This window comes from Homo sapiens, chromosome 8 (genome assembly GCF_000001405.40).
Source record: "Homo sapiens chromosome 8, GRCh38.p14 Primary Assembly".
Lineage (NCBI taxonomy): Eukaryota > Metazoa > Chordata > Mammalia > Primates > Hominidae > Homo > Homo sapiens.
The window spans coordinates 987,478-1,006,803 of record NC_000008.11 but is presented as its reverse complement, the minus strand read 5'-3'; the positions used below and the strand labels follow the sequence as shown (position 1 = coordinate 1,006,803).

At 48.2% G+C, this 19,326-nt stretch overlaps 1 protein-coding gene across 2 annotated transcripts in view, besides 2 other annotated features; it reads right to left on the bottom strand.

Moving 5' to 3' along the window:
- Positions 1–19,326, bottom strand: part of DLGAP2 (DLG associated protein 2) — a 970,849-nt gene that overhangs the window by 701,673 nt on the left and 249,850 nt on the right. The window lies entirely within an intron of this gene.
- Positions 3,369–3,869: an enhancer, noted in NCBI's record as "H3K4me1 hESC enhancer chr8:952935-953435 (GRCh37/hg19 assembly coordinates)". NCBI's record gives its function as "activates a minimal SCP1, AML or CMV promoter by ChIP-STARR-seq in primed H9 embryonic stem cells {active_cell/tissue: H9 hESC(primed)}" and the evidence as "EXISTENCE:reporter gene assay evidence [ECO:0000049][PMID:30033119]".
- Positions 10,034–11,233: an enhancer, noted in NCBI's record as "BRD4-independent group 4 enhancer chr8:945571-946770 (GRCh37/hg19 assembly coordinates)". NCBI's record gives its function as "activates an origin of replication core promoter dependent on BRD2, P300/CBP, MED14 and CDK7 cofactors, and independent of BRD4, by STARR-seq in HCT116 cells {active_cell/tissue: HCT116}" and the evidence as "EXISTENCE:reporter gene assay evidence [ECO:0000049][PMID:35650434]".

Here is a 19,326-nt window from a genome sequence, read left to right as displayed (position 1 = left end):
AAAGGACATCCTGAGACTTGAGACACACGGTGTCCCTGACATGATAAAGGACCACATCCTGAGACTTGAGACACACGGTGTCCCTGATGTGATAAAGGACCACATCCCGAGACTTGAGACGCAGGGCGCCCCCGACGTGATAAAGGACCACATCCCGAGACTTCAGACACATGGTGTCCCCGACGTGATAAAGGACCACATCCCGAGACTTGAGACGCAGGGCGCCCCCGACGTGATAAAGGACATCCTGAGACTTGAGACACACGGTGTCCCTGACATGATAAAGGACCACATCCTGAGACTTGAGACACACGGTGTCCCCGATGTGATAAAGGACCACATACCAAGACTTGAGATGCAGGGCGCCCCCGACGTGATAAAGGACCACATCCCGAGACTTCAGACACATGGTGTCCCCGACGTGATAAAGGACCACCTCGCGAGACTTGAGACGCAGGGCACCCCTGACGTGATAAAGGACCGTATTCTGAGACTTCAGACACATGGCGTCCTCGATGTGATAAAGGCACAATCCTCCCCAGAAGCATAGCACAGTTGTCCATCTTTTTCAGGGGTTGGGGGATGGTGGGGCATGAGATTTCTTCTTTTCTTTTTGAGATGGTGTCTCGCTCTGTTGCCCAGGCTGGAGTGCAGTGGTGCGATCTCGGCTCACTGCAACGTCAGACTCCCTGGTTCAAGTGATTCTCCTGCCTCAGCCTCCCGAGTACCTGTGATTACAGGTGCCCGCCACCACACCCAGCTAATTTTTGTATTTTTAGTAGAGACAGGGTTTCACCATGTTGGCCAGGATGGTCTTGATCTCTTGACCTCGTGATTTGCCCGCCTCAGCAGACGTGAGCCACCGCGCCAGACCAGGGTGTGAGATTTCTTTGATCTCCCTCACTCCCCGTTACGTAAGTTCTGGTTCTGCCAGTCATGGGACATCTGGAGCACATTCCCTGAAGGTATTATTTGGGTCATTGAATTTCAACAGGGACACTCAATACAAGTACAAGAGAGATTATCCAGATTGGTGTCTGCAGTTCCCAGGGCACAAGGCATGGCTTAAACACTGGGGATGTAGGGCTAGGAGCGGTGGCTCATGCCTGTAATACCAGCACTTTGGGAGTCCAAGGCAGGAGAATCACTTGAACCTAGGAATTTGAGACCAGCCTAGGCAACAAATTGAAACTTCATCTCTACCAAAAAAAAAAAAAAATTAGCTGGGCAAGCTGGGCATGGTGGCACACACCTGTAGTCCCAGCTATCTGGGAGGCCAAGACAAGAGAATCACTTGAGGCCAGGAGGTTGAGGCTGCAGTGAGCTGTCACTGCACCACTGCACTCCAGCCTGGGTGACAGAGCAAGACCCCATCTCAAAAAAAAAAAAAAAAAAAAACAAGTGGAGTTGTTTTGAATACAGGAAACAACATGGGCATCAACTATTTGACGGGCTGCCTTGCTAAGGACGCGGCTCCCTTTTCTATGACATTCTCTGCAGACTTTCTGAGTAGAAGTCACAGGAAGGCTGATTCACTCCAAGAACACAAGCTCCACAGCTGTTCCCTCAAGGCCAAGCAAATGTATTTTGGGAAAACAGAAAGGGCTCCAAACTGTAGGTGAGGTCAGTAGCCTCAATCAGTGGGCCAGGAACTCCACATAGATGCACCAGTGACACTACTTTCGATCTTTTCTTTGGAAATAACGATCCATCCACAGGAAGACACAAGGGCAGTGGAAGACAGAGTTTCTGTGTGCTCTTCACTCATTGCCCTCCATGGTCACATCTCATTCAACCACTACACAAGACCCAGCCAAAAAGCCAGGGCCCTGTGTGTGCCTGTGACCATCCCTGCTGCCACGCAGCCTTCCTGCATGGTGCCGGACAGCAGCCCCCTCCTGCCTGAGTTCTGCCCACTGCATCACATTTTCATTTTGCTACAGTTGAGGATACAAAACATATGATAATGCCTTGACATGGACACTTCAGCTGCAATACTGGGCCACGGGGGTCTCTCCACCAAGGGCAGAGCGCAGTGAAGACAGGGCTCGACCTACTGGTGTGAAGCCGACCTCCCAGCTGAGAAAGATGCCGCACATACTGGAGACACTCCCACCTTCCTAAGAAAATGAAATTAAGTTGGTAACCACTTCTAAGCTGTGACTGAGCCAGAGGCTCAGTGTGCGAGCTGTGGACACAATCCGATCCCTTCACAGGCACTATACAGGAGGGTCTGAAACTCAAGAGAGTCGTGAGGCCAAAGGGAGATTCCAGATGACAACTTAGGTACTTCCAACCCTGATTGTGGCCGACTCTATTTTGAATATAATACTCCAAGTCAAGCCAAATCTGGACGTGTATTTGAAAAAGTAGAGCTCACCTATTTGAAACAGCAGGTAATAATCTCAAAATGCAAATTAAAGCAATAAAATGTCACTGTAGCTTACCAAATTTATGAAGATAAAAGACAAAATTAAAGTGGCCAAATGCTGGTTAAGCTGCTTGGGAGGTTTCTGTCACGCTTGCCAATGGCAACATAAATATGTGTGGTCCCTAGAGAAAAAGCAGCTTGGAAGTGTGTATTGCAAGTCTACAACATTCATATACTTAGAGCCAGTGTTTCCATTTGTAGGAACAATTCTAGGGGAATTTTAATTTGTATGGAAAAAGCTTTAGGAAATTAAATTTTTGTTTTAATACTATAAAAGCCAAAAGATCGGAAACAATCCAAATGTCACTTCTGTCCTAACATGTATCGGGCAATTATTTTGTGCCAGGCAACATCAAGAGAATAAAAAAAATGGTAAAAAAGAATTGAAATAAATATATTCCTGGCACTGGAATAATTTACAATCTTTTGGGAGGGGGACACCAAGCTAAAACAAGCTGAAACATGATGACAAAAACACAAGTAAGAAATGTCTGTATGGCTTGTGGTATCATCTCTTGATAGAATGTCATGTCATCATTAACTCAATGGTTCCCACTTAGGGCCGAGCCACCATTCTGGGGTATGGGGGGACCAAGGTGCTGGACAGGTCTCATGAGAGAGAATCCAGGCGCTCAGACAACAGCCCTAGATGAGCTACAAGCTGACAGCCAGCCCCACCTGCCCTGTGTGAGTGAGTGCCTGACTGCCCAGTCAAATCTCCAGATGCTCAGCCCCAGCTCACATCACAGAGCAGAAGAGCCGCCCAGCTGAGCCTGGGCAACCTTGGCCATCAGGAACAGTGGCTTCAACCAATGCTCACTGCTTACTAAATGTTGAGATGGCTTATTATTCAGCAATAGATAACCAAAACCAATGGATTGTTAGACAACAATTTGGCCAAATAAATATTCCATCCACCCATGGATATATTAGCCTTTAATCTAGTGACCTGTGACAAAGACACATGTGGCAGGATCACTGCACCTTACACTGATGGGTGATGCGATGCATGAACTTTCTGCAGCCCCCGTCGGGCCACCCATGAAAACTAGGAGCACAGATGCCCACCTGATAGTGAGGCCATAGCGGGGGATGGGATGCAGGAGTGAAGGAAGAGGGCAGTGCATTCGGTTTGCTCTCCTGATTTAGGGTAAGCAGAGGAGGGCTTGAGACCCACCCTTTAGAGTCCTCCCATAGCGGTGGCCCTGCGCCATCCTGAAGGAGCAGCCAGGGCATGGTGGGGCATGTCCACATGAGTGCTCAGGGGTCTCTGCATTTGGGATGGAGCAGGGGGTAGACAGTGGCTCAGGGACTCAGGGACCCCGAACCGCCGAGTTCCACGCTGCACACTGCTGTGGAGGACAAGGGAACAGGGACTTGAGCTCGCGTCCCAGATCGTTATAAAGGATTTTTATCCCAGGAGGCACAGACACTTCTTATTTAATGAGTGTTAACCTGATTATTGGTTCTAGTCGTTGGGACATGGGGTGCCTGGGCCCCACTAGCGCCATGCTGGGCATGCTTTGGGGGTCCCCTCCCTAGTCCAGGACTCGGTCAAACTAACTCCACTCCAGCCACTGGCTCCGAGACCCCCCAGGCAGTCTCTTCCTGTCAGCCACTGTGCGCCCCTGGTATCATCCACGACTTCTCAGTTTCAGTTTGGTTTGCTTTTCTATCTTGTCCCTTTCAGAAGTACTATCAGGGATGCTGCCACTACAAAGTGGACCCATTTCACAGCCACCCCACAGGGCGTCCACTCAGTGTCCAGCTGGGTAGATTCTGCTGACCACAGCCTTGACACCTCCTGTGTCCAGGAGGGGAGGCCAAACAAGCTCGTGAGCTTCCAGGTACCCAGCCCAGAGCTGTGTGTACAGCAGTCATTCCACAAGTTACTGCAGAATAATATTTTACTGAATGTTTTCCCTATTAAAACCTGGTCTTCTTTTAAGGCTTGGCTCTTTTTAAATAGTCAATTGTTCATTTCTTGAAAACAGTTTTTGCAGCATGCATCTAGTTAAACAAGTTAAATGGGCTAATCTCAGGAAGATCTCTTTCCCTTTAATTATAGATGAGGTCACAGACCCCGGAGGAAGTCCTGGAGATGTTCGTTGAAAGAAGAATCACGTCTGTGCAGCAGTGCCTTTGAACACAGTGACAAAAGGGTCTCGGGTGTGAGCACCAGGAAGGAATCCCAGGCTCCCCCTCCTTAGCTGTGAGTTCTCAGCCAGTGATCGAATTCCCTGGGCCTGGGGGTCTTCATCTGCGGAAAGGGATAGGCATCATCGTTCATTTAAGCAGGTGGAAGACAATTGAGGAAATCTATGTAAACAGGTAGCACAGTCCCAGAATATGCTAAGTGCCCGTATCGTATATTGTGTAGGAAAATTAAAACCTTTCAGAAAAGAGTCAATTCGCCCGGTTCATATGACCATTTTTAAGCTCAAACACGCTTTAACAGGGATCACTTTTCAAACCAAGCCCTTTCTTGAGCCTCAAAGCATCAGCAGCATTATCCCCCAGACCCTCAGGCCAGGATCTGTTCTGAGTGTCAAGATTTCTTCCTTGTTCCTTGTTCTTGAAATTGTAATGGAAATTTGGGGGAGTGGAGGAAGGACATTCAAATGTGTGTGTACGTTACAGCAATAGTAGAGAAAAAGATAAATGGCTTGCTGCCAGACTCATGGGACTTGGCAACTTCTATAACATCAATATTACTTTGAATGCTATAGCTAAAATAAATGTAGTTCTAAAATATTACCTCTGTTTTGCACTTAAGAGCAATTCGGTTTTTTCCAATCATTTCTCCGTAACTTTCGTTTGAGGTTTCATGACACCTTCCTCAATATTTTAATTATTACAGTGTTTTATAATCAAAAGCATTTGCTCTCATCAATAATAGTATCAGGACACAAAAACATTTTCTAGATGAAAAGTTTGAGAGATTATAAATATTACTTTAAGTTTGTCAAAATGTTGGCCTAAAAAGGATAAAAATTAGACATAAATGAATACATGGACGTAACACAAACTTATGTTTTTGTTCAAAAACTGCTCGGCAGACTTCTCGATAAAATGATGTCAAGTTCTCAGGCTTCTGACAGAGCCAGTGGAGAAAGGCTGTGTGCAGTACAACCCTGTCCTGATCACAATACAATGTGAAAAATAGTCAAAGCTCTCCAGTCTCCTCCAAAAACATTATCTATAGCAGCAAGCATACAAGAAAAAGGGGCACACACTCATGAATAAATGTTTTATATCAAAAGAAGAGAGTGGAGAAATTGTGATTCCCTCTGTCATTGCCACTCAGAGAAGTGAGTGGAAACTATCAACAATAGCCTGCAAATGTCATCGACACCTCCTGATTTTAAATGGCACAGCGAACAGGGTGAGCGGCACTCCTGCCTACACTGAGGAAATCCCTGGAGGGGAGTTTCACCTGCTCCCAGGCACTCTCGGAGGCCGCATGGAACCAAGAATCAGCACCCGATGAGCAAGGTCTCCCTCTCCTCTCCCCCCACACCTGTCCACACACATCGCAGAAGAGAAGCAGGCCATCCACAGAGGCTGCTTGGAGTCTTGAGGAGCCACCTCCACACCGTCACCCTCCTCACCCCCAACGCCCCTGCAGTCGACGTTGAGTAAAGATCAAGGCTACAAAAATACCTTGGAGAAGAATTTATCCACATCAAAGCAAACAGTAATACCGGACAGTTCATAACCAAGAGGAAAAGTAATAACAGAGCAATTAGGATAACAAAAATGCATCCGTAAATGGAACACCACATGCAAAAACCAAATCTAGACACCAGTGCAAAAGAAAACCACCCCACCCAGATCTGTCCGCTCTATAGAAAATCCATTGCAAAAGAAAACCACCCCCACCCGGATCTGTCCGCTCTAGAGAAAATCCAGTGCAAAACAAAACCACCCCACCCGGATCTGTCTGCTCTAGAGAAAATCCGGTGCAAAAGAAAACCACCCCAACCCAGATCTTTCCGCTCTAGAGAAAATCCAGTGCGAAAGAAAACCACCTCCACCCGGATCTGTCCGCTCTAGAGAACATCAAGTGCAAAAGAAAACCACCCCCACCCGGATCTGTCCGCTCTAGAGAAAATCCAGTGCAAAAGAAAACCACCCCCACCTGGATCTGTCCGCTCTAGAGAAAATCCAGTGCAAAAGAAAACCACCTCCACCCGGATCTGTCTGCTCTAGAGAAAATCCAGTGCAAAAGAAAACCACGTCCACCCGGATCTGTCTGCTCTAGAGAAAATCCAGTGCAAAAGAAAACCACCTCCACCCGGATCTCTCTGCTCTAGAGAAAATCCAGTGCAAAAGAAAACCACCTCCACCCGGATCTGTCTGCTCTAGAGAAAATCCAGTGCAAAAGAAAACCACCTCCACCCGGATCTGTCTGCTCTAGAGAAAATCCAGTGCAAAAGAAAACCACCTCCACCCGGATCTGTCTGCTCTAGAGAAAATCCTTAGCAAGCACATTAATTCAACAGGGCAAGAACTTGAAAATGAGATAATAAAAGAGATGAAAAAAGAAATTGCACAGGAAAGGAACTCAACTGAGTATTAAAACCACACCACCAGCCGGGTGCAGTGACTCACGCCTATAATCCCAGCACTTCGGAAGGCCCAGGCAGGTGGATCACGAGGTCAAGAGATTGAGACCATCCTGGCAAACATGGTGAAACCCCATTTCTACTAAAAATACAAAAAAATGAGCCAGGCATGATGGCAGGCGCCTGTAATCCCAGCTACTCAGGAGGCTGAGGCAGGAGAATCACTTGAGCCTACAAGGTGGAGTTTGCAGTGAGCCGAGATTGCACCACTGCACTCCAGCCTGACTGGCAGACCGACACTCCATCGGGAAAAAAAAAAAAAAAGAAAAACCACCACCACAAGACCAAGAGGTAAATCAGGACAGCAACTATCAAAACAAAATACAAAGCACAGGAAAATTCTTGACATAGAAGATTCAAAATAATCACCTTAAATTCAACAAGGGAAAGAAGATGAGAAAAGTGAGAGAAGAGGTAACAGGAGATGGAAAGGGGAATACACAGGAAGGGTCACAGGCACAGCCAGAGAAGCAGCAGCAAAGGACAACACCAAATGAAAACAAGCAGGAGACAAAACAGCTCCACCGACACGGGAGGAGAAAGTATCTCTGGCGTGAGGAGGGGACTGGACAGGTGCACTAACTGTACTCTCAACTTTGTGCAGAATAACAAATATCAGAAAATGTCCTAACTAGGTTAAGCTTTAAATACATATTTTTAAGAACATGATCAATCACATAGGCACAGCATGGAGGAAGAAGCTAACCTGGTATGGTTCATCTGGAGGCAGCAATGTTCATCTCAGGATTCTACAGGTAACATGACCCAAGCATGCTACAACCAGCCCACGTATCCTTCAGGATAACAGCAGCTGTGGCTTCACACATGAACAATGCAGGAAACAGAAACCCAGGCCCCTGCACTGGAGACAGGGATGCCACAACACATTCCAGTTCCCCCAAAATATACACAGTATAAAGACTGCTGTTATGAGGACAGTGAAACAGTATATTCAAGCTCCAAGGAAAGAAAGGGTATGAGCCAAACATTTAAAAGAACCCAAGTTTTCCTCAGATTATAAGAGCAAAGGGCAGGCATTCTCACCTAGGAAGAAATCGTGAAGCAAACCCTCATGACCCATGCAGAAAAGAACAACTCAATAATAAAACTGACCAGCAAAGAGATCAAAGTAAAAAAGATGAGGTCAGGCATGGTGGCTGGCATCTGTAATCCCAGCACTTTGAGAGGCTGAGGTGGGAGGACTGCTTAAGCGCAGGAATTCAAGATCAACCTGGGTGACACAGTGAGATCCTATCTCTAGAAAAAAAAAAAAAAAATTAGCTGGGCATAGTGGCTCACACCTGTAGTCCCAGCCATGAAGGAGGCAGAGGTGGGAGGATAGCTTGAGCCCAGGAGTTCAAGGCGGCAGTGAGCTAGGACCACGCCACTGCACTCCAGCCTGGGTGACAGAGCAAGACCCTGTCTATCTGTCTAGATAAACTGACTAAAAGTAAAGATGAGCCTCTGTAGGAGCTGAGGAGTTGTATGACATGACACAGATGGAGCAGTGCCAACCCGTGTGTGCATGCATGCATGTGTATGTGTGTATTTATGTGTGCATGCACATTTGTGTGTATACATGTGTGTATGTGTGTTGTGTATGCACATGTGTATGCATGTTTGTGTTCATACACGTGTGTATGTTTCTGTGCAGACACGGGTGTGTGCACATGCATGTGTATATGTTTCTGTGTATGACTGTATGCACATGTTTATGCATGTTTGTGTGCATGTCTATGCATGTTTGTGTGCACGTGTTTGTGCATGTACATGCATGCGTGTATGCATGTGTGATGTGTTTGTCTGTATGCATGGGTGTGTGTGCATGTTTGTATGCATGCATGTGCATGGGTGTTTATGCATGTGTGTATGTGTGTTTGTGTGTATGTGTGTATGTATGCACACGTGTATGCGTGTTTGTATGTATGCATAGGTATAAGCAAATTTAACTTTTTGTGGTAGAGGAGAAAATGCACGAGAAAACGCAGGAATAGTACTTTCATTTTTCAAAAATTATATTGTTTTAAATTTTCTCTTTCTTTATTCTTAGGCTTTTAAAGAATTATGTTTACTGGGATGAACAAACGTTTGTGTGAAGCATAGGAATGAGTTCCATTTTTCAAGTCAATTTATTAGTTTTATTAAAATCAAATAGTTACATTTTATGCTTTATTTTAAAATACCACAGAGTATCATCCCGTTTAATGAAGTGCTTCTACATTTTATACTGTGTGTGTTTGGTAGTGAATGATGGTTACTCCTGAGGAGTAGAAGGCTTTGTGATCAGTTGTTGTCTTCTCTGTAGTTTTCTATATTGGTTCAATGTCTTATAACATGTGTATCTTTTCATTTAAAAAAAGATAATCTAAAAAGGACAGGGGAAAAGTATCAAGTAAAATGATCCGGGCTCCCCAGATATTTAAATAGCATTTTTGAATGTAATATTTTGTAATTTTCATGAATTAATTTCAATATTTTAATTCATTTCCCATGTAAATCAGTAGGGGTTAATATTTCAGTCTGAAAATTTAAGTTCCCAAAGCATGCTGTTGCTAAGTGAATTCTACTCAGAAACTGAGGATCATGAGATAGTTTACAAAATTAGGATCATGCTATTCTATAACTTGTTTTTTTCTCAATTTTCATACAATGAACAAAACAGTCCGTCACATGCATGTATATTATACTTTCTCTATTCTCCTACTGCTGAAAAACACAGCAATCAATGCCTTCCATCATACATTGTTGTCCACATGAGATAAGATTAATGTACCTCCAGATAGATTCCTGGTCTATGAAGGGTTCCAAAGCGAAATTCTAAAAATGGTGAGTCACAGTGTGACTTGTGGGAAGGTGGCAGCTTTAAAATCTATGTGTAAGTTCTTGGGGGCTTTCTCAGAAGAAACCAGCTCTACTACTGTTTAGATAGATGTCTGCCACGCATATTAACTCACACTTATGATTCTCCTCACTTCCTCTTCAACTAGGCCAGCAATCAACACAGGCTGGAGAACTGAGTATTAAACAGTGAATGATGACGATTAACTTGAGGGGGTTTCATTCCATGGAATATTTTAAAGGCTGAAAACTACTGAACAGACAAAACCTTCTGCAAAGATCCTTTTATATTCATAAGGTTGATAACGAAACTTGTCTCTCCATCATGAGAGAACTGAGAACAAACAGCCTCACTCACGGAAGGACTTTCATTAATGTAGCCACATCCCATCGACAGGCACAAACCTGAGCCTCCGGCCACTCCACCCTAACACAATGTTCCTTCAGCACGGGAGCCAGCAGCCTCCAGAACGGCCTTTGCTTTGCTCAAAGCACACACGCTGAGGACACGGGATCCACACCCTGCTCAGACGCCATTTCTTCCCTGTTCCCATGGTGACACTGGGGCCCTCGGAGAAGAGCTCTGTAGTCTCTAAACGACAGGAATGACCCCCCCAGAAAGAAACCTGAGTGATTCTGGGGAAGTAACTCACAGCCTCCATCTCACAATCAAAGAAAAGTTACTATAAGTAAAGAAGGCTTTGGTCTAGCCAGAGAGTTCCTGCCTTCTGTGAGTCCTCTCTCAGCTCTGGAGTGGAGAGGAACAGAGGGGAGTGGTCCCTGGAGCCAGAAGAACACAGCATACTGGTCTGAGGAACTACTTTAAACGGTGTTGTGGTTGGATTTCTCCTGAGTCTAATTCCAGATAAGTAACTGACAATGGCCTTGCCTTTGCTGACTTCAGAACCACATGGAAAAGGGAGGGATGTTCAGGTGCCAGGAGCCTATTTGGTTCCTGCCTGCACTACAGCCAAAGAAAACAAAAATCCCATCTTTTCTTTAGTCTCCTGCTTCCCCCAGCCCACCTGTGAAGCCATAAGCTTAACCCTCCATGGAGAGACACGTCTCACTTCCCCAAGTCTCTATGCTGTTAGCACCCCAGCATCACCAAACAGGGGGAACCTAATTTATGGCAACCACTTCTACTTTTCATAAATAAGATTCAAACTATTTTAGTATTTTTCTAACTGAAACAGTTGCTGCTTGTAAACAACCCATGCTGAGTCACTTCTGTTTCTGGTGTGTTAGCCATCTTAGATCTTGAATAGAAATATGTGCATGCCACTTCCTAAGGGGGACAGGGGAGATTCTTCCTATAACTAAGCACAGCATGGCTGACATTTGTGGTACAAATTCTATTTGGAAGGGCTATGGTTATGCATATATGTAATGGAAATACTAAAATCCAGCAATGCAAACTATAAGACGAAAACTATTAAATCATAATGAGACTTGGTTTTTGATTGTGTGGAATATAAATCACTGTTAATTAGAAACATCTTTCAAGAAATAAAATGTTTAATTACAAAGTTACTATAATATTTCATTGACATCAAAAGATGTTTCTATCAACTGCAGTTGGATTTTAACTTCTTAAAAATCAAAAAACTGATGTCACAGAAACCAGAGTGCTTATTCTAAGTGCAACACACTTCCAACCTCACCCACTTCCTCCCACAAAACAGTTGTTTTATACGGTAATGTGAAAAAATTATACTGCTTTATACAGTATAATGTGAAAAAATGTGATTTTTTCAATATTACCCAATTAAAAGACTGTCTGAGGCAATAAAAACAATTTTATGTATTCCTTTTCATTTGCTCAATAATTTACAGACATGTTTATGGACTCTGAGACTGTTAACCTGAACAGAACAGCATTAGAATCTATTCCAGAACCTTGAAAGGTAAGTTGAAGAATACCTATTTCAGGTACTAAATATGTGCCCTGCCCCCGTGATGCCAACTGTACCACCGTTGTCCGATTTTCCTTAGACATTCTATTTCCTAGGTCATTAAAGCAAAATGCACTCAAGTGTAAAATACCCCAGCAGTCCGTAAACTGGAGCTGAATGACTCTTCGTCTGCTGTGATATGGAACTTGAATCACACTTTGGGGACTTGCTTCATTGCCAGCAAGGGAGCAGGTCTGACCTGTAACTATTCAGGCTCTCTCCAATGCCCAGCAGTCATATGATGATGGATCACGCCATCTCCTACAGAGCTGAGTTCCAGCCCCTGTGTGTAAATGCATCTTAAAAGGCAAGGATGCATCCATCCCAAGCCCTCCCACCTACCGTGTTCTAGGAAGCAGCACAGGTGCAGAATTAGACAAGTTAAGAGCACTGTTCTTGAGGATCTGGAGCCTTGGAAAACTCCCAGAGACAACCGTTATTAAAAAACACCAGGCTGGGTGCAGTGGCTCATGCCTGTAATCCCAGCACTTTGGGAGGCTGAGGCAGACGGATCACCTGAGGTCGGGAGTTCGAGACCAGCCTGACCAACATGGAGAAAACCCGTCTCTACTAAAAATACAAAATTAGCCAGGCATGGTGGCCCATGCCTGTAATCCCAGCTACTCGGGAGGCTAAGGCAGGAGAATCGCTTGAATCTGGGAGGTGGAGGTTGCAGTGAGCCGAGATCGCGCCACTGCACTCCAGCCTGGGCAACAAGAGTGAAACTCCAACTCAAAAAATAAAACAAAACAAAACACCATAAGGATGTTTAGGTCAAAATAATTTCTATCTACTTCGCAAAACTCCCCAATAATAATCACTAATGACATTGTAGTGCAGTGGCGATTTCTAATACGAAAACACCAGTCTCATCCAAAAACCACCATAGTACTGTCTACGCAACGCCTGCTGGGTTTAAGTGCACTGCTAGAGTGTAAATACAAAAGTATACTAATAAACAGCACTTTCATTCTCTATACTAAGTCTACTCCACAATTACAAACCAAAAAGGGAAAATTACCAGCCGGGATCTGCTATTAGAGTCAAGCCTCTAAGTAGCTGAAACGACACAGCTAACTGGTGTATTATCAAAGGCCCTAGAAAGGCCCTCAACAGAAAGCAAAAATACAAACACACACCAAAAAAAAAAAAAAAAAAAAAAAAGCCAATCAGTTTGCTTGCATGGTGTCTTAAAGTCTGCATCTAGAGAACTGCTCCTCTGGCCACTATGTTGAAATATAAATATCCCTGAGAGGCACGAGTGTACTGACGTCCTCTCAGGCTAAATGGCAGAATCGCCCATGAAGGAGACGCTTGATACAGGAGAAAGGATACACACCAGGCATCAGCAATAGGAGAACACGAGCTGAGATGACCAGCAGAAACAAACGCCCCTGGAAGTTCCTGGAGATGGGAGAGAAGAACAGGAACTCCGAGTATGGGGGTGCAGGGGGTCCAGGCAAGGAGGGAGAGAAGAACAGGAACTCCGAGTATGGGGGTGCAGGGGGTCTGGGCAAGGTGGGAGAGAAGAACAGGAACTCCGAGTATGGGGGTGCAGGGGGTCTGGGCAAGGTGGGAGAGAAGAACAGGAACTCCGAGTATGGGGGTGCAGGGGGTCCGGGTAAGGTGGGAGAGAAGAACAGGAACTCCGAGTATGGGGGTGCAGGGGGTCTGGGCAAGGTGGGAGAGAAGAACAGGAACTCCGAGTATGGGGGTGCAGGGGGTCTGGGCAAGGTGGGAGAGAAGAACAGGAACTCCGAGTATGGGGGTGCAGGGGGTCCGGGCAAGGAGGGAGAGAAGAACAGGAACTCCGAGTATGGGGGTGCAGGGGGTCTGGGCAAGGAGGGAGAGAAGAACAGGAACTCCGAGTATGGGGGTGCAGGGGGTCTGGGCAAGGAGGGAGAGAAGAACAGGAACTCCGAGTATGGGGGTGCAGGGGGTCTGGGCAAGGTGGGAGAGAAGAACAGGAACTCCGAGTATGGGGGTGCAGGGGGTCTGGGCAAGGAGGGAGAGAAGAACAGGAACTCCGAGTATGGGGGTGCAGGGGGTCTGGGCAAGGTGGGAGAGAAGAACAGGAACTCCGAGTATGGGGGTGCAGGGGGTCTGGGCAAGGAGGGAGAGAAGAACAGGAACTCCGAGTATGGGGGTGCAGGGGGTCTGGGCAAGGTGGGAGAGAAGAACAGGAACTCCGAGTATGGGGGTGCAGGGGGTCCAGGCAAGGAGGGAGAGAAGAACAGGAACTCCGAGTATGGGGGTGCAGGGGGTCCGGGCAAGGTGGGAGAGAAGAACAGGAACTCCGAGTATGGGGGTGCAGGGGGTCCGGGTAAGGTGGGAGAGAAGAACAGGAACTCCGAGTATGGGGGTGCAGGGGGTCTGGGCAAGGTGGGAGAGAAGAACAGGAACTCCGAGTATGGGGGTGCAGGGGGTCTGGGCAAGGTGGGAGAGAAGAACAGGAACTCCGAGTATGGGGGTGCAGGGGGTCCGGGCAAGGTGGGAGAGAAGAACAGGAACTCCGAGTATGGGGGTGCAGGGGGTCCGGGCAAGGTGGGAGAGAAGAACAGGAACTCCGAGTATGGGGGTGCAGGGGGTCTGGGCAAGGTGGGAGAGAAGAACAGGAACTCCGAGTATGGGGGTGCAGGGGGTCCGGGTAAGGTGGGAGAGAAGAACAGGAACTCCGAGTATGGGGGTGCAGGGGGTCTGGGCAAGGAGGGAGAGAAGAACAGGAACTCCGAGTATGGGGGTGCAGGGGGTCTGGGCAAGGTGGGAGAGAAGAACAGGAACTCCGAGTATGGGGGTGCAGGGGGTCTGGGCAAGGTGGGAGAGAAGAACAGGAACTCCGAGTATGGGGGTGCAGGGGGTCCGGGTAAGGTGGGAGAGAAGAACAGGAACTCCGAGTATGGGGGTGCAGGGGGTCTGGGCAAGGGGGGAGAGAAGAACAGGAACTCCGAGTATGGGGGTGCAGGGGGTCCGGGTAAGGTGGGAGAGAAGAACAGGAACTCCGAGTATGGGGGTGCAGGGGGTCTGGGCAAGGAGGGAGAGAAGAACAGGAACTCCGAGTATGGGGGTGCAGGGGGTCTGGGCAAGGGGGGAGAGAAGAACAGGAACTCCGAGTATGGGGGTGCAGGGGGTCCGGGTAAGGTGGGAGAGAAGAACAGGAACTCCGAGTATGGGGGTGCAGGGGGTCCGGGCAAGGAGGGAGAGAAGAACAGGAACTCCGAGTATGGGGGTGCAGGGGGTCTGGGCAAGGAGGGAGAGAAGAACAGGAACTCCGAGTATGGGGGTGCAGGGGGTCCGGGCAAGGTGGGAGAGAAGAACAGGAACTCCGAGTATGGGGGTGCAGGGGGTCCGGGCAAGGTGGGAGAGAAGAACAGGAACTCCGAGTATGGGGGTGCAGGGGGTCCGGGCAAGGTGGGAGAGAAGAACAGGAACTCCGAGTATGGGGGTGCAGGGGGTCTGGGCAAGGTGGGAGAGAAGAACAGGAACTCCGAGTATGGGGGTGCAGGGGGTCCGGGTAAGGTGGGAGAGAAGAACAGGAACTCCGAGTATGGGGGTGCAGGGGGTCTGGGCAAGGTGGGAGAGAAGAACAGGAACTCCGAGTATGGGGGTGCAGGGGGTCTGGGCAAGGTGGGAGAGAAGAACAGGAACTCCGAGTATGGGGGTGCAGGGGGTCCGGGTAAGGTGGGAGAGAAGAACAGGAACTCCGAGTATGGGGGTGCAGGGGGTCTGGGCAAGGGGGGAGAGAAGAACAGGAACTCCGAGTATGGGGGTGCAGGGGGTCCGGGCAAGGTGGGAGAGAAGAACAGGAACTCCGAGTATGGGGGTGCAGGGGGTCCGGGTAAGGTGGGAGAGAAGAACAGGAACTCCGAGTATGGGGGTGCAGGGGGTCTGGGCAAGGTGGGAGAGAAGAACAGGAACTCCGAGTATGGGGGTGCAGGGGGTCTGGGCAAGGTGGGAGAGAAGAACAGGAACTCCGAGTATGGGGGTGCAGGGGGTCTGGGCAAGGTGGGAGAGAAGAACAGGAACTCCGAGTATGGGGGTGCAGGGGGTCTGGGCAAGGTGGGAGAGAAGAACAGGAACTCCGAGTATGGGGGTGCAGGGGGTCTGGGCAAGGTGGGAGAGAAGAACAGGAACTCCGAGTATGGGGGTGCAGGGGGTCTGGGCAAGGTGGGAGAGAAGAACAGGAACTCCGAGTATGGGGGTGCAGGGGGTCTGGGCAAGGTGGGAGAGAAGAACAGGAACTCCGAGTATGGGGGTGCAGGGGGTCTGGGCAAGGTGGGAGAGAAGAACAGGAACTCCGAGTATGGGGGTGCAGGGGGTCTGGGCAAGGTGGGAGAGAAGAACAGGAACTCCGAGTATGGGGGTGCAGGGGGTCTGGGCAAGGTGGGAGAGAAGAACAGGAACTCCGAGTATGGGGGTGCAGGGGGTCCGGGTAAGGTGGGAGAGAAGAACAGGAACTCCGAGTATGGGGGTGCAGGGGGTCCGGGCAAGGTGGGAGAGAAGAACAGGAACTCCGAGTATGGGGGTGCAGGGGGTCTGGGCAAGGGGGGAGAGAAGAACAGGAACTCCGAGTATGGGGGTGCAGGGGGTCCGGGCAAGGAGGGAGAGAAGAACAGGAACTCCGAGTATGGGGGTGCAGGGGGTCTGGGCCACTTTCATAGAAAACTTCAGAAGGTCGATTCCCATGCAGCGCAGGACTTGGGCACCCACATGGCAACATCACGACACAAATATAACAGGTGAAAAGTTGGGAATACTCTCACCAACAAAAAGAATGGACCACTAATACAAACAACACCATGGATGGAGCTCAAATCATCAGGCTGATAGAAAGGAGGTAACACAGCACTGAAGTCGTAGATGACCCCTTTCATGAAATTCTACAGTGGGAAGCAGTGATCTGTAATGAAGCCATCATGCTGGCACAGTGGTCCAGGAGGTTGGCTGGGAGCGGCAAGAGAGGCTTTCTGAGGAATACGTTCCTCAGAGCTCATCGAACCCAACACCCAACAGCGACATTTCACTGCATGCAAATTACAATTCAGTTATTTTTAAAAGACTTAGAAAAATCATATAATTTTTTAAGTGACAAGAGCAGCTGGTGTCATGAGAGACTTCCTCCAAAGCCACATAGCCAGTCATTAGCAGGGACCCTGGGGAAGCCTCAATTTCTGAATCTCAAAATACAAAAACAATATTATGTATTTCATAAGATTAAGCCAATTTCAAAATTTTAAACTAATTGCAGTTTCAGACTCTTAGCAATTATGTCAATCATTCACTTTTCTCAGGTTCCAGATGGAGCAGAATCATACATATCAGCCTTCAAGGAATGTCTACCTTTCAACACAGTTAAGAGCCTGACCCCAGGGCAGGAAGAGCTCGTCCTGCTGGGTCACAATCACACATGACATGTGAGAAAGTTGGTACCAAAGCCTTTGCATCCTGGTATTTCCGTCGACTGCAGCTGGAACCCCAGATGTAGAGGACAGAGGAAGTGAAGCCGCCCAGGACACAGGAGAGGCCAAAAACACAAGTGCGGCCGATTCAGGTGCAAGCAAGGTTTGGACGTCTACTATGGATAAGGTGTCAGGCATAAAAAACCCGAAGACAGCCCCTCCCTCAGGCCCTGGGAGAGCAGCCGTCCACTGATGGAGAGGAGGTTAGGATGTGGGTGAGTGAAGTGGGGAGGGGTGCTCCTTCCTGGGAACCCAGAGGGACTCCGGGGGAGCACTGCTGGGCCCTGATGTGGCATGCGGGAGAGCCCCCCAAGTGCTCTGATCAAAGGCCAGTGTGGAACACGGCAAGGTGGTGCCGCGCAGGGCTGAAGGCTGGGACTGCACTGCGGTCGTCACAATGGAGGCTGACTAGACGGGATCTGTGCTTTAAAACAGTCTCCTGGCCAACCTGGAGAGCCCTCGACAGCAGAGACAAGGTCCAGGGAGCCGCGAGCGGAGGCAGTGCAGGCAGCGACGGAGAGGAGGTGACCTGAGAAGAAAAGAGGTAAAAATCCACAGCATGTGGAGAGGCACCTGCATTGTCAGAGGACAGAGAAGCATCTGAGAAACTCCAGGGGCTCTCATGCAGGTGACTGTGGGACAGCAGTGCCACCAGTGGAGCTTGGAAATGATGCAGAAAAAGCAGGATTGGTCAGGAGAGCCATGCACTCACCAGGTCCCCGGGGGACAGGCCCTGGGTCTAGGGAGGGTGGAGATGGAGGCCAGGAACCAGAGGGCAGGTGGACAGGGCAGGCAGGGAACACATCAGATGGAAGGTCAGAGCCACGGCAAATCACGGCCAGGAGGCAGGAGCCCAGGAGAGAAGGTCCACGTGGGGTGGGACATCAGACCCTGGAAGGGAGGAGGCTGAGGCCAGACACCCCCAGGGACAAGCCAGATCAAGGCTGAACAGAGGCCGAGCCGGGAGGGTTTTCTTCAAGGCCTGTTGTTGCCAAACAAACTGCAAATTAAAAAGAAGACGCCACATCCCTGTCCTTCATGTGAAATGAATACCAAAGGAAATGACTTTGGGCAGGTAATAAGAGAATTTAAGGCTGAGTGTTACCTGCAGCTTCGGAGAGAAGAATAAAGAATGACACTTTGCCAAGAGACTTACAGGGCTTCAGTTTCACTTCTAGATTCCACAGTGACCCTGAAGCTAAAATCTATTTGCTTTTTAAAATGCACACTTATAAAATTCTGTTTTGCATCTGAAGGTGATTTGGGACCTATTTCTCTATCTGAATACTAAAGGGTACTAAATACATACTCTTTAGAAAATACATTCCACATAAAAATCATGCGATTAGCTACCAACCTATAAGAACGTGAAAACCATAGAAAATAACGCAACTCCCATCAGGGCCTATGAGAATAGAACCATGCTAGGCCCCTTTAGACAGTTTCCTCCCCAGTCAGGTGCACATGGAGGAAAATTCAATGGTGCTAGAAGCTACATCGAGAACCAGACTTGTTTTGATGGATATCACTGAAGCCACAGAGAAGCACTGATCTCCTTAATACATACGGAGAATATTGCTGACCACATATGTAAAACATGTAATAGAATCCTAGGTGAGTTGGAAATTAACAGCTGAAAGAGAGGATCCTTTTTATCTGTCATATGTTGGGGGAAACTGGGGAAGAAGCCAGCACACAGGAAGCACCCGGTGTGAGTAAAAGTGAGAAGCGCTTAAATAGCAACTGCCTTGGTGAAAGGAGTGGGCTTGTCGTCGGCTTGGACTAATTACCCACCTCCAGGCAGAAAAGCTGAGGTTACTATTCAAGGGGAAGACAGCAGGATTCCCACGAGCTGCAGTAAGACCAGGAAGCTAAAGATCTTGACAAATAAGCAGTTTGTCTATTTTGTTTGCTGGCTGAGTTTCCAGGGCAACCACAAAACCAGTAGTTCAACAACAGAGGCTGGAAAATGGACAAGGGAAGGTCGTGGGGGCGTCCGGCAGAACTGTGCTGGGCCT